General features: G+C 41.1%; 2 protein-coding genes across 6 annotated transcripts in view, besides 6 other annotated features; one reads left to right on the top strand and one right to left on the bottom strand.

Annotated features, from left to right (window-relative positions):
- The window catches only part of HS2ST1 (heparan sulfate 2-O-sulfotransferase 1), a 195,348-nt gene extending 184,306 nt beyond the window's left edge, over window positions 1–11,042 (bottom strand). For both annotated transcript variants that reach the window (NM_012262.4, NM_001134492.2), the window contains exon 1: window positions 10,517–11,042. In NM_012262.4, the coding sequence (NP_036394.1) occupies window positions 10,517–10,640 (124 nt within the window). In that variant the 5' untranslated portion in view covers window positions 10,641–11,042. The remainder of the gene's footprint in view (window positions 1–10,516) is intronic.
- Window positions 1,979–2,157: a silencer, noted in NCBI's record as "fragment chr1:87389203-87389381 (GRCh37/hg19 assembly coordinates)". NCBI's record gives its function as "represses an EF-1alpha promoter that drives an FKBP-Casp9 reporter gene in an ReSE screen in HepG2 liver carcinoma cells {active_cell/tissue: HepG2}" and the evidence as "EXISTENCE:reporter gene assay evidence [ECO:0000049][PMID:32094911]".
- Window positions 11,025–11,639: an enhancer, noted in NCBI's record as "NANOG-H3K27ac-H3K4me1 hESC enhancer chr1:87379721-87380335 (GRCh37/hg19 assembly coordinates)". NCBI's record gives its function as "activates a minimal SCP1, AML or CMV promoter by ChIP-STARR-seq in primed H9 embryonic stem cells {active_cell/tissue: H9 hESC(primed)}" and the evidence as "EXISTENCE:reporter gene assay evidence [ECO:0000049][PMID:30033119]".
- The window catches only part of SELENOF (selenoprotein F), a 52,133-nt gene continuing 49,317 nt past the window's right edge, over window positions 11,100–13,915 (top strand). For 2 of the 4 annotated variants that reach the window (NM_203341.3, NM_004261.5), the window contains exon 1: window positions 11,551–11,649. In NM_203341.3, the coding sequence (NP_976086.1) occupies window positions 11,566–11,649 (84 nt within the window). In that variant the 5' untranslated portion in view covers window positions 11,551–11,565. Of the gene's footprint in view, window positions 11,363–11,550; window positions 11,650–13,915 lie in introns of those variants that run through there. The other 2 variants (NR_144513.1, NR_144512.1) reach the window with 2 other exon arrangements.
- Window positions 11,302–11,421: an enhancer, noted in NCBI's record as "active region_1284". NCBI's record gives its function as "activates an Ori minimal core promoter by ATAC-STARR-seq in GM12878 lymphoblastoid cells {active_cell/tissue: GM12878}" and the evidence as "EXISTENCE:reporter gene assay evidence [ECO:0000049][PMID:35858748]".
- Window positions 11,472–11,631: an enhancer, noted in NCBI's record as "active region_1283". NCBI's record gives its function as "activates an Ori minimal core promoter by ATAC-STARR-seq in GM12878 lymphoblastoid cells {active_cell/tissue: GM12878}" and the evidence as "EXISTENCE:reporter gene assay evidence [ECO:0000049][PMID:35858748]".
- Window positions 11,640–12,254: an enhancer, noted in NCBI's record as "NANOG-H3K27ac-H3K4me1 hESC enhancer chr1:87379106-87379720 (GRCh37/hg19 assembly coordinates)". NCBI's record gives its function as "activates a minimal SCP1, AML or CMV promoter by ChIP-STARR-seq in naive and primed H9 embryonic stem cells {active_cell/tissue: H9 hESC(naive and primed)}" and the evidence as "EXISTENCE:reporter gene assay evidence [ECO:0000049][PMID:30033119]".
- Window positions 11,742–11,791: an enhancer, noted in NCBI's record as "active region_1282". NCBI's record gives its function as "activates an Ori minimal core promoter by ATAC-STARR-seq in GM12878 lymphoblastoid cells {active_cell/tissue: GM12878}" and the evidence as "EXISTENCE:reporter gene assay evidence [ECO:0000049][PMID:35858748]".

Genomic DNA, 13,915 nt, shown 5'->3' with positions numbered 1-13,915 from the left:
GAATCATGGGGGCAAGTCTTTCCCATTCTGTTCTCATGATAGTGAATAAGTCTCATGAGATCTGATGGTTTTAAAAAGAGGCGTTCCCCTGAACAAGCTTTCTCATTTTTTGCCTGCCACCATCACATAAGATGTGACTTACCCCTCCTTGCTTTCCACCATGATTGTGAGGTTTCCCCAGCCATGTAGAACTATTAAACGTCTTTTAGTTAATTGTTGTCTTGGGCATGTCTTTATCAGCAGCATGAAAACGGACTAAAACAGTAAACTGGTATCATAGAGTGGGGCATTGCTGAAAAGATACCCAAAAATGTGGAAGCTACTTTGGGACTGGGTAATAGGCAGAGGTTAGAACAGTTTTGAGGGCTCAGAACAAGACAGGAAAATGTGGGAAAGTTTGGGAACTTCCTAGAGACTTGCTGAATTGCTGATAGTGATATGAACAATAAGGTCCAGTCTAAGGTGGTCTCAGATGGAGACAAGGAATTTGTTGGGAACTGGAGCAAAGGTGGCTCTTGTTATGTTTTAGAAAAGAGACTGGCAGCATTTTGCCCCTGCCCTAGAGATCTGTGGAACTTTGAACTTGAGAGAGATGATTTAGGGTTTCTGGTGAAAGAAATTTCTAAGCAGCAAAGCATTCAAGAGATGACTTGGGTGCCATTAAAGGCATTCAATTTTAAAAGGGAAACAGAGCATCAAAGTTAGGAAAATTTTAAGACTGACAATGCAATAGAAAAGAAAATTTCATTTTCTCAGGAGAAATCCAAGCCCACTGAAGAAATTGCATAAGTAACAAGGAGCTGAATGTTAATCCCCTAGACAATGGGGAAAATGTCTCCAAGGCATGTCAGAGGTCTCCATGTCAGTGCCCCCCCATCACAGGCCCAGAGGTTTAGAAGGAAAAAATGGTTTCGTGGGCCAGGCCCAGGGTCCCCGTGCTATGTGCAACCTAGGGACTTGGCACCCTTTGTCCCAGACCTCCTGCCATGGCTGAAAAGGGCCAACGTAGAGCTCGGGCCATGCCTTCAGAGGGTGCAATCCCCAAGCCTTGGCAGCTTCCACATGGTGTTGAGCCTGCGAGTGCACAGAAGTCAAGAACTGAGGTTTGAGAACCTCAGCCTAGATTTCAGAAGATGTATGGAAACACCTGGATACCCAAGCAGAAGTTTGCTGTGGGGCGGGGCCCTCATGGAGAACCTCTGCTAGGGCAGTGTGGAAGGGAAATGTGGGGTTGCAGCCCCCACACAGATTCCCTACTGGGGCACCACCTAGTGGCGCTGTGAGAAGAGGGCCACTGTTCTCTAGACCTCAGAATGGTAGATCCACTGACAGTTTGCACCGTGCACCTGGAAAAGCCACAGACACTCAATGCCAGCCTGTGAAAGTAGCCAGGAGTGGGGGGCTATATCATGCAAAGCCAAAGGGGTGGAGCTGCCCAAGGCCATGGGAGCCCAACTCTTGCATCAGTGTGACCTGGATGTGAGACATGGAGTCAAAGGATATCATTTTGAAGGTTTAAGATTTCACTGCCCCGCTGGATTTCAGACTTGCATGGGGCCTGTAACACCTTTGTTTTGGCCAATTTCTCCCACTTGGAATGGCTGTATTTACCCAATGTATCTAGGAAGTAACTAACTTGCTTTTGATTTTACAGGCTCATAGGCAGAAGGGACTTGCCTTGTCTCAGATGAGACTTTGGACTGTGGACTTTTGAGTTAATGTTGAAATGAGTTAAGACTTTGGGGGACTGTGGGAAGGCATGATTGGTTTTGAAATGTGAGGACATGAGATTTGGGAGGGGCCAGGGGTGGAATGATATGGATTGGCTGTGTCCCCACACAAATCCCATCTTGAATTCCCCTGTGTTGTGGGAGGGACCTGGTGGGAGGTAACTGAATCATGGGGGCAAGTCTTTCCCATGCTGTTCCCATGATAGTGAATAAGTCTCAAAATATCTGATGGTTTTAAAAAGAGGCATTCCCGCCAGGCGAAGTGGCTCACACCTGTAATCCCAGCACTTTGGGAGGCCAAGGTGGGTGGATCATGAGGTCAGGAGATCAAGACCAGCCTGGCTAACACAGTGAAACCCCATCTCTACTAAAAATACAAAATATTGGCCAGGCGTGGTGGCAGGCACCTGTAGTCCCAGCTACTCGGGAGGCTGAGGCAGGAGAATGGCGTGAACCCAAGAGGCGGAGCTTGCAGTGAGCCGAGATTGCGCCACTGCACTCCAGCCTGGGTGACAGAGTAAGACTCTGTCTCAAAAAAAAAAAAAAAAGGCGTTCCCCTGCATAAGCTTTCTCATTTTTTGCCTGCCACCATAAGATGTGACTTGCTTCTCCTTGCCTTCTGCCACAGTTGTGAGGCTTCCCCAGCCATGTGAACTGTAAGTCCAATTAAGCCTCTTTCTTTTGTAAGTTACTCAGTCTCAGGGCGTCAAAACGGGCTAATACAGGATGTTAAGGAAAGAAATGATACATAATTTTTTAAAGACCTATATTAAACTTCTAGAAGGGCAGGGGGAGGAGTGGGAGGCAACGCCTGAGATAAAAAATAAACTGGGTAATATTAAAAGTGGATTACATACTGCAGAAGGATTGGTGAATTAAAGACCTAGCAGTAAAAACTATCTAAAACAACACACACACACACAAAAAGACTGAGAATGATGAATAGAACATCACTGAACTGTAGAACAATTTCATGTGGTCTAATGTAAGTGTATTTTGAGTTCCTGAGAGGAGAAGCAGCATAGAAAAACTAACGTGAAGAAATAATAGCCAAAAATGTTTAAATGTAATAAAAACTGTAAACTCACAGATCCAAGAAGCTCAACAAACCCCAGGCACAAGAAACATAATACAAGGGCACAAGAAACATAATTTAATAATTAAATAATTAAAAACCTAGTGAAACTCTTAAAAGTAGGCAAAAGAGGAAAAATAAAAGACACGCTACATATAGTTGAACAAAGAATGATGGCAACCTTCTCATCAGAAACAATGCAAGCCAGAAGACAATGAAGCAATATCTTTAAAGTACTGAAACAACAAAAATGTCAGCTTAGAATTCTATACCCAACAAAAATATCCTTCAAACACTATAGCAAATAAAGACTTTTTCAGACACACAAAATGAAAAGAATTCATCACCAGTATATTTTTAAGTGTAAGTAATGTTAAAAGAAATTCTTCAGAGTGAAAAAAATGGTACCACATGAAAATCTGCATACACACACACACACACACACACACACAAAATGAAGAACACTGGGAATGGTAAATATGTCAGCAAATTTTTAAAAAATTTTTAAACATTTTATATATTTTTAAAATATAAGTTAAAGCAAAAATAATAATGTATTGTAGGACTCATGTATAGAAGTAAAATGTATAATGACGATAGCAAGAACCCAGAAAAAAGTGGTAATATATTAAGGTTCTTATACTACACATGAAATTCTATCATGTATACCATAAACCCTTAAGCAACCACTTAAAAAAAAAACAACAACAAAGAGCACTGCTAGTAAGTCATCAAATTAAAAAATGGAATTTAAAAATACCCCTTTAATCCTAAAGACAACAGAAAAAAAGGAATCACAGAACAGTTAAGATAAACAGAAAACAAATAGCAACTCACGAATTTAAACCCAACCACATCAATAATCACATTAAGTGTTCTAAACATTCCATTAACAAAAGAGATTGTGAAATTAGATGAAAGATTAGATGCTGTCTACCAAAAATCCACTTTAAATATAAATACACAAGTAGGTTAATATTAACAGGATGGGAAAAGATATACCACCTGACACTAATCAAAAGAAAACTGAAGTGTCTGTATTAGTATTAGACAAAGTAAGTATCATAGTCCATTGTGTGGTACTATAACAAAATACCTGAGACTGGGTAATTTATAGAAAACAGAAATGTATTTCTTCACAGTTCTGGAAACTGAGAAGTCCAAAATCAAGACACCAGCATCTGTTGAGGGACTTCTTGTGGCATCCTCACATGGTTGGGGGTAGAAATGGCAAAAGGGGGACAAATGCTGTCTTCTTACGTAGAAAAAAGAGAACACACTGCCACAAGCTCTTTTATAACAGTATTAATACAGTTATGAGGGGAGAGCCCTCATCACCTAAACACCCTCCACCTCCCGCCCCAATACTGTTGCATCGGAGATTAAGTTTCCAACATGTGAATTTTGGGGGAGACATTAACACCACAGCAGTAGGTTTCAGAGCAAAGAATATTACCAAGGATAAAGATGGTATCTTGTATAAAAAAAAGGGTTGGTCCATCAAGAAGACATGACAGCCTAAATGTGCATATACTTAATCACAGCACTTCAAAATACATGAAGCAAAAAGTGACATAACTACAAGAAAAACAGACAAATCCACAATTATCAAAGATTTCAAAACCCCTCTCCATAACTGATGAAGAGGCAGAAAAAAATCAAGAATACAAAACACCATAACAATACTACCAACCGACATCTACAGCATACTTCAGCCAATAACAACAGAATACATATTTTTCACGTTCACCTGGAACATTTACCAAGATAGTTTTTTTTTATTTGTAATTGACAAAACTGTATATATTTATCATGTACAACATGTTTTAAAACATGTATATATCATGGATGGCTAAATCAAGCTAATTAAGACAACATGCATTACCTCACATACTTTTTTTTTTGGTATGGTGAAAACACTTAAAATCCACTCTCTTAGCAATTTTCAAGAATACATTGTGACAGGAGAATGAGGGAAAGCTTCGGGAACCATGTCTTTAGGTAAGTGAGGCAACAGAATCAGGTGCACAAATGACCGAACAGGAGCACTGACAGTTACCATCTATTGTTAACAGGCAGAAAGGCAGAATACGTAAGTACAGGTACTGGTAGGTGGGTAGATCTTAAAAATAACTAGGCTATAGTGAACCATGATTATGAAGTTCATCTATAAGTACATCCTTCAAAAATGGTCTTCTGGAGAGCAATCTTTGAACATTCATTATTATTTCAATTTCTCTAAGTGCCAAAAAGCTATTAGAAGGCCTACCAGAGTGGTGGACAGACATCCTGGAATTATCTTAATTGAGATCAACTATTTCAGGTGACTACTCCATGGCACTAGACATCCTATTCAAGACTAAGTGAGGCACCAATTACCAATTCTAGAATAACTGTATTCCTATTAACCCAAAGTCCTCAAAACAGTAGCTACTATGAGGTTTTCCAAATGATTTCAGAAGTGAGGAAATCTAGCATTCTCTGGAACATCTTACAGGTATTGCTGCATGGTTTCAGGAACTTACTTGTAAAAACTACCAAATTCCAAAAAGCAGTCTCAACCTTGGCCCTGGAATTAGTTGTTTAGTCTAGTAGAGTTTTAAGAACATAATGACTAACATTAATTCTCACCAATGGATGATTACATAATCCATTCTCAATTATTTTCCCCATGTAAAAGATTATTCCTAATGTGCTCATAAATCCATATAGAGATGTAAGAATACAGTCAACAAATATTATTTACAATGCTAAAACCCTATAGAAAATAAAGTTACCAAGCACATAGTTCTATCACTTATGTGAGAAAATATTTCACTGCACTGTTCGACCAGTCAATATTAGCAACAAGTGCGCTCTTGAAATTCGGGAAGAACTACTTTTTACCAGCCACAAATTCTGACATTTTATAGTAACGAGTCACAGTTAAATAGTTTTCATTTGGATTCCCTGTCCTTTTCCATTTCTCACTAGAAAATTAAGTCTACATTTTAATACAATGAAGTATTAACTTCATTTGAAGTTGAAAAACTTCTCTTTTTCACAGGTAATAAGCTTATCTCCTAAATTTAACTCACAATCTGCACGTTATGTTACTAAAAACAAAAAAAAGTCCACTAAATATGAAACATCTACTATAAATCTGTGATCCTTGCCATTAAAGGAATCACATACTCCTTTGCAAATCTGATGAAAGTTATGTATATAATTTCAGGGAATTCACTGATACCTTGAAGCCTATTTATGGGTCCCCGAGGTTTAAAGAATCTCTGATTAATGGAAAATAGCATCCAAAATTGATCCAAGAACATATGAAAACTTAGTATGTGATTAAAAGAAGGAATGTTAACATACAGTTGGAAAAAATGATTTACTGAGAAAATCATGATAAATCTCTGTAAACATACAAATGGTTTAAAGAGCCAAATGTAATAAACTATAAAATACTATAATAAAATACAGAAAATGTACACAATCCTGGCTCTGGGTAAGTCTTCCTAAGCAAAATATGAAAACGACTTCCCTAAATTGATAGATTTAACTGTGTGTATTTTAAAACTTCTATATGAGCAAAACACACCATAAAGTCAAGAAACAAATGGCAAACTTGGACAAAAACAAATAAGAGGCCGGGTGCAGTGGCTCATGCCTGTAATCCCAGCATTTTGGAAGGCAGAGGGGGGCAGATCACTTGAGGTCAGGAGTTCAAGACCAGCCTGGCCAACATGGTGAAACCCTGTCTCTACTAAAAATACAAAAATTACCTGGGCGTGGTGGCACGTACCTGCAATCCCCGCTACTTGGGAGGCTGAGGCAGGAGTGAGCCGAAATCGTGCCACTGCACTCCAGCCTGGGTGACAGCAAGGCTCATCTCAAAAAAATAAATAAATAAATAAATAAATAAAAATAAAAAAAATTTAAAAAAGACATAGGATAGATAAAGGATTACTAATTCTAATATTTAAAAAAAAAAGTAAACCACCCAATAGAAAAATAGAAAAAAGTAACAAATAAAAGGGCAATAAACATGTAAAGATGTTCAACCTACCTAGAAATTAGAAGGTAAATTAATTGAATATATCATTTCACAGCTTCACACTGGCAAAAATTAAAAGCTGATTATCTTCTAGTGCTAATGAATGTGTGCTGGCAGTGTAGATTACTACATCTTTTGAAAAACAAAAAAATGTTGAAAAGTAGATTTTTAAATCTGTTAAATTATAAAATATGTATATTCTTTGTCCCAGCAATCTCACATACAGAATTCATCCTAGCACAAAATGACATCAACATGAGTTAAACGGACACATAAGGATGTTTCCTATAATTGTTTATAATACCAAGAAAGAAAAGAAACACTCAAAAAAATTATATATATATGTATATATACACACGCACACACACGACAGATGGGGGACAAACTGAATGTCCGTTACTAGAATAATGGCTTAATAATTTATGATACATGCATACTTTGGAATATTATACAGCTATTATTAATAGAATGAGTAAGTCACATCTATATGTACTGACCTGGAAAGATGTGTATAACATTCAAGGCAAAAAAAGCAAGCCGCATTGTAATATGTGGACTACAATGCCATATTTGTTTTTTAAAAAATAAAAATAAAAAGCTGTATTACTGAATTTTTTTTTTTAGGAATTCCTAATTAGTGAATTTCCCAAGTAGTCAATGAGTACACCTCAGTTTTGAATACATCTATTGCTCTATTAGAAGTCTCACCATCAAAATACTGTACTCTCAAATCAAGGTATATTAAAGCCACTATCAGACAATACTATCCTTTGGAATCTTCTACAATGAAAATGATAATAACTACTTTTAAGGACAAAATGTTTAATAGGTTTTTTATGCCAAAATAAAAATGCTTTTTTAACATTGTGATTTTGCACGTATGGAAAACAGCTAGATTTTTCTTTCCTATAGTAAAAATAAGCTATCTAATTCAGTTGTTTCATTGGGTAACATAATTATGTTCATTACATGAATCTAAACAAGGGGCAGACGTTACATTAAACCAATTCCTTTGTATCAGAAATTCAATTTTCTCTGAATGATATTCATTCTTAGCAATAAATGCAATTAAACACTGATATTACAATTTTAAAACTCTATTCAAATACCTAAATCTCAGCGTAATGTCAATATAAAGTCTTAAGCAGCCGGACATAATTAAAGGAGCACTTGATTTGGAATCATACATACCTGGGTTGCAATCCTGGCTCTGCCACTTAAATGCGATGTGGTCTTGGGCAAGTTATATAACCTCTCTAAGCCTGTTCCTGCATCTGCAAAAATGGCTTTCTGTTGTTCTTTGGTTTTTTTTTTTTTGAGACTGAGTCTCACTCTATTGCCCAGGCTGGAGTGCAGTGGTGTGATCTTGGCTTACTGCAATCTCTGCCTCCCAGGTTCAAGCGGTTCTCATGCCTTAGCCTCCTGAGTAGGTGGGATTACAGGCGCCCGCCACCCCGCCCGACTAATTTTTGTATTTTTAGTAGAGATAGGGTTTCACCATGTTGGCGAGGCTGGTCTCGAACTCCTGACCTCAAATGATCCGCCGGCCTCGGCCTCCCAAAGTGCTGGGATTACAGGCGTGAGCCACCGTGTCTGGTCAAAAATGGCTTTAAATGGTGTTCTTACTTTAAACACGAGTATCTACGATGAAAAGTGCCTAGTACAGAATATGGTTGTCAAAATATGGTTTCCTCTGCTAGGCATGGTAACACCCACCTGTACTCCCAGGTATACCCATCTGTAGTCCCAGGAGGATTTTGATGCATATTTACTACTTTTTATGAAATTTTCTTTCTTGTATCACAAGAAAGCACTTTATATTTTAACTGTGGCATTATACATCTTCAGATAACTTTCTTTTAAAAATCATTCAGATTGTGTCTATGGAAGCAATTTTCAAGTATATGGGGAAAGAAATGTTAGGAAAGGAGGAAAATCAAAAATTTAAGTCATTCTAACCCACTGTAACGTGTCTAAGAAATCAACTCCAGACAATTCCAAATAGTAACAAAACAAAAAATAAGTACAAATTTTAATTTTAATATAACTTTCCACTTCAAGAGGAGTCTTTTTTTCTGTAGAGCTGGATCATTAATAACGCCAGAATATGACCCTGAATGTCGCTAAATGGATCCAAAAGAAAAGAAAAACCAGACTGGATAACCTTCAATATTTAAAGTGGACATTTTTTTCCACCACACAAGATACATATTAATAAAGGAATTCGTAAATAAACTGAGTATCTCTTCAAATTTTACTCTAGAATTGAGGGCTGGAAGTAACTCTAGTTTTCCTCCAACTTTAGTTGCACTTCACTCAGATTTACTTGATGGTTTTTCTTTCAAGGCTCTTTAAAATGTCAAGGCTTTTGCAAAGCCTTGTACCAAAATAGCTACTATACATAATATTACAATTATTTTCTGGTACATTTTTCCTAAAAATTAATCATCCACTCACAGTAACATCTATTTCTTAGTCTAAATTACACTGCTGAGGGTTTTTTGTTTTTGTTTTTGCTGGCTTCTCAAAAGGTATTTAAAATGATTTTGAGGTGAGAGTATGCAAAAAACACTTCACATTACTTTTCCATATTCAAATTACATCCTCTTGAGCTGATTTTTAAGTGCCATGTACATTTTTAAATCAAAATTTATCACTGTCATTCTTTTAACTCTCGCTCTCCATGCTGAGCTCTTCCAAATGCCAAAGTGCCCTATTAATCCGAAAGTACCTATTATCTGTGCTTTTTTCTGGCCTGTCTTTCACAACTTCACACCAACTTTTTGTACTTTAGACCCCCTCATCCATTAAAGCACCTGTTAACCCTTTAAGGTATTTAACCATATGGTTAGCTTTCCGCATAATCCTACTTTTCCTTTAACAAACACAAACTTCACTACATAATTCCCCTTCAGCGTTCCCTCCTCTTCGAAATTCACATCAACACTGCCGTGAAGCAACATACATAGGCATCCCTATTCTCAAGCCCCAATTCATCAGTTTAGCGCCACTAAAGAAGAATTTAAATCTCCGGACCCTCATTTCCGTACTCCGATGAAGCTTTGCACTCGCGTTCCCGCACTACCCGGCCAGCCTCCCTCAGCTGGCAATTACAAGGTCCTTTGCTGCCCGGAGCACAAGAGTGCAACTCGCTACAGTGTTCACATGTTGCTCTCCGTCATCCCAGCATCTCCTCCCATTTCTGCGCACCTATCCCTTCATGAGCCCCCAAAAGAATTCGTATCCAGATGCCCATAGCTCAAATTAGAATACCCCTCATCTGACATTGCCAGGGCTTCCTGTACGACTTCCAAGAGAACACGCGATGCTAAGCGCTTCTGTCTCCGGAGACCAGCAACACACGCTCCCCACTGAGTTCGGTCTTCTCTCTCGCTCTCTCTCCGCGGAATGCCTACTTCGGGGCTACCCTTTGGCTAGGGAAGCCCAACCTTGCAACCTCTGCCCCGTGACCTCGCGAGCCCAGCACGCCGCTCAAGCTTAATTCAACCCATTCTTGGAGCTCGTGCTCTCGCTGCCCCTTGTTCCCGGTTCTCTTTGAAACCGCTTTCAGCCCCCGAGCCAGACCCCAGGTTAGATGAACGCCCACTTGCTCCGGCGGCAGCGCCTCCTCGGCCCCTTCCACAGCACTCAGCCCGGGGCAGTTCAGTTCCTCACCTAGCTTCGAGCGGGACTCCTCCAGTTTCTGGATCTGGTTTTCCAAGAAGAGCATCGCCACCGCGAAGGCCACCACCGCCAGCAGCTGCAACTTGGGCGGCATCATAATCCTGAGGAGCCCCATGAAACCCGCTGCTCGGGATCAAGACATACCGCGGGGGGCGGGGAGCGGGACCCCGGAGGCGAGAGAGACGCCGGGAGGAGCCCGCCGAGCCGGGAGCGAGGCAAAGAGAGAGCGACAGCGAGAGAACCACCGCAGCGACCCCCCTTCTCGCCTCTCCAGTCCCCCTCCCCCAGGCGCTATCACCAACGCCGCTGGTGTCCGCTTCTCCTCAGCCGACTAAACGGCCGCCCCCTCCAAAAGCCCGCGCAGCAAACAGCGCGAAGCGGCTGCCGGGCTCTCGCCTCCCTCTACTGCCTCAGTCCCCGACCCCCGCGCCCGCCTGCTTGCCCGCCTCCCTCTCTTCCTTCCTTCCCTCCCTCCTTTGCTCGCGGCCGCGCGCCCCTCCACCGGCGCTGCGGCTGCGCCGCCCTCATCCCCGCCCCCGCCCATCCCCCTCCGCCACCACGCGCACGCATCCGCGTACGCTGCTCGGCAACCAGAAGCCCCGCCCCTCCCCCCGTTCGGGTCCGCTTATTGGACGGAAGAGCCCCTGCGCTTCGCTCTTGGTTCGGTTTACGGTTGGTTTCCTCTGCCACAGAGCTCAATCAAGACGACATTCAATTGGGTAAACTTGGAGAAGAAGGCGGGGCTAAAACTGGCGAAGGCGTGGCTTCTTGGCTGCTTGACGAAGTGTCGTGAATAAAAGAAAGGAGACCGCAGAAGTAAAGAAGTGGGGAGTTTAGGCAAGTGCCTGATTTGGGTAATCGAAAGCACCCAGTGATTGTATTTGATGACTTTTAAGCTTTCATATGCCGTTATTTAATACCTGTCACTTCCAAATGAGAGATGTAAGGGCAACGGCCGTTAGCGTTCTGTTTTGGATCAGGCTCTGGAGTGGACGCCCCTAGCTTAGGGGTCCTTCTAGGCAGCCAGAAACCTGCGGAAAATGGTAGCGATGGCGGCTGGGCCGAGTGGGTGTCTGGTGCCGGCGTTTGGGCTACGGTTGTTGTTGGCGACTGTGCTTCAAGCGGTGAGTGTAGATCACCTTCGCAGCTGCCACAGGGAGAGTAGGAGTGATTGCAGCTGAGAAAGACGCAACATTCGGTCCTGGTTGAAAAGGGTGGGGAGGACTGCGCTTCCTTAATGACTGCTGCGGCCAGAATGCAACGTGGCTTAATTTCTCGGTTGATCCTTCTCCTTCCCCGCCTTGGGTTTCTAGCAGCAGTTTTCTCTTGATTTCAGATTGTCTTGGGTACGTAGCTTCTCTTATACGGCTCTTGCTAAAAACAATCTGTAAACCACACCAGGTGGGAGGGGGGAATAATAAAGCTTGGCAAGAAGTGGAGGTTGTTTTTAAATGGACAGAAATGCAAGAGACTCATGACGAGACTTCCAACTCTTAGAGGCAAGTCTTCAAGTCGTTGGTCCAGGCGAACAGTTTGTGTTTACCTCTCTCGCGCGCGTGCTCTCTCATTTTCACTACTTCTGTTAGTCTCTTAACTTCCGTTCTCCTCTGCTATTCATATACGGCTGGCTGCGCTTGAGTGCGATTTGTGCTTTTAAACAATGTTGTTGGAGTAAAAGGAGTTATCTATACCAAAGTATAATTCATTTTTGAAGTTAGTTTTTTAAATGATGTTCGTTGTCTTCTTTAAGGCAGCGTTTTTTATTTCATTTTTCTCTATTGGCAGAATAGATGGGTGACCTTTGAATGGGAAAAGTGTACTTTTAACTTATTTCTTCTCATATCCATGTTCTGCTGTGTGAATAGTAAAATTTTAGGCACAGTGCTGAAAGCTTTTACGTTTTTTTATCCTAGCTTAATTCTTCGGGTAGTCTCTAATAAGGAGACCTGGTTTAATTTACTTATCCAAGGTTGAGGGTGTTAAGGGACTACACCGGAGTCCTCTATGAACACCTGTACTTACCTTTCTCAAAGAGCTTGAAAGCATCCTGGCTGTTTGCTTTGGCTACTTTAACCAAAAGGTAGATTCTTAACTTCTGTAATTAACATTCCAATTATCTTGTTATTCAGGCATTTGGTGCTAGGAATTACTGGATCACCTCTCCCTAAACTTTCTACTGTTTAAGGGTTTTTGCACATCTTTAGGTCATTCGAGATAACATTTCAGGTTGTCTTTTTTTGATCTCCCTCTGTCTTTGACTGTCAGTTGTCTATAGCTGTGTAACCGCCCTAAAACCTAGTAGCTTAAAACAGCAATGATTTCTCATAATTCTGGGTCAGTGGAGTAGAACTACTCCACCTATGTTGGTTTTCCCCTGGCCTCATTTATGCTTTTTGTTGACCTAGTAGGTCAGCTAAACCGAAAGGTTCCAGGATTACCACTGTTTATAGTTGGTGCTGTCAGCTCGAGGACTTGGTTCTGTTCCGTGTGACCTCTCATCCTCCAGTCGGCTAGACCAACTTCTTTTCATGGCACTCTCAGGGCAGCACTCCAAAAGAGCAAAAGCTACAATGCCTTCTAAAGCCTTGCCTTGGAAATCACATATATTACTTCCATCACATATTTCTCAAAGCAAGTCACAAGACTAGTTCACATTCAGGGATGGAGAAATAGATTTCATCTCTACATGGGAGGAATGACAGAGTCACTTTGCAAAGTGTGCATACCAGGATAGGAGGTATTTATGGAATTAACTAATTCCATATGTAATAATGATAGGAATTAATTAAACAGCGTACCACAGTGACTGTGCACAGAATCCAAACTAGAAATTTGGATGTCATGTTTGACTCCTTTCCTTACATATATCATATCCAGGGAATTACTGAAACTTACTGATTTTAATTCCTAAGTATCTCAAATCCATCCACTTATTGTTAATCACTCAGGCCATAAACATCTCTCTCCTCAGAAATAACAGCGTCTTGGTTCACCGTTTGAATTATCCCTGGCTGTATTCAGAATCTAAATGGTTGGCTTTGCCTTTGTCAGCTTCCCAATTGCCCAAGCCAAAAATTAGTCATTTTTGGCCAGTTGTGGTGGCTCATTCCAGTGCACTTTGGGAGGCTGAGGTGGGCAAATCACCTGAGGTCAGGAGTTCAAGACTAGTCTGGCCAACACGGTGAAACCCCGTCTCTAGTAAAAATATAAAAATTAGCTGGGCGTGGTGGCGCATGCCTACTCGGGAGGCTGAGGCAGGAGAATCACTTGAACCCAGGAGGCGGAGGTTGCACTGAGCCGAGATTGCACCATTGCACTCCAGTCTGGGTAACAGAGCAGGACTCTGTCTCAAAAAAAAAAAAAAAAATAGTCATTTTAAATCCTCTTTCC

Source organism: Homo sapiens, chromosome 1 (genome assembly GCF_000001405.40).
Source record: "Homo sapiens chromosome 1, GRCh38.p14 Primary Assembly".
Taxonomy (NCBI): domain Eukaryota; kingdom Metazoa; phylum Chordata; class Mammalia; order Primates; family Hominidae; genus Homo; species Homo sapiens.
The sequence above is the reverse complement of the archived record's forward strand: the minus strand, read 5'-3'. Positions and strand labels throughout refer to the sequence as shown.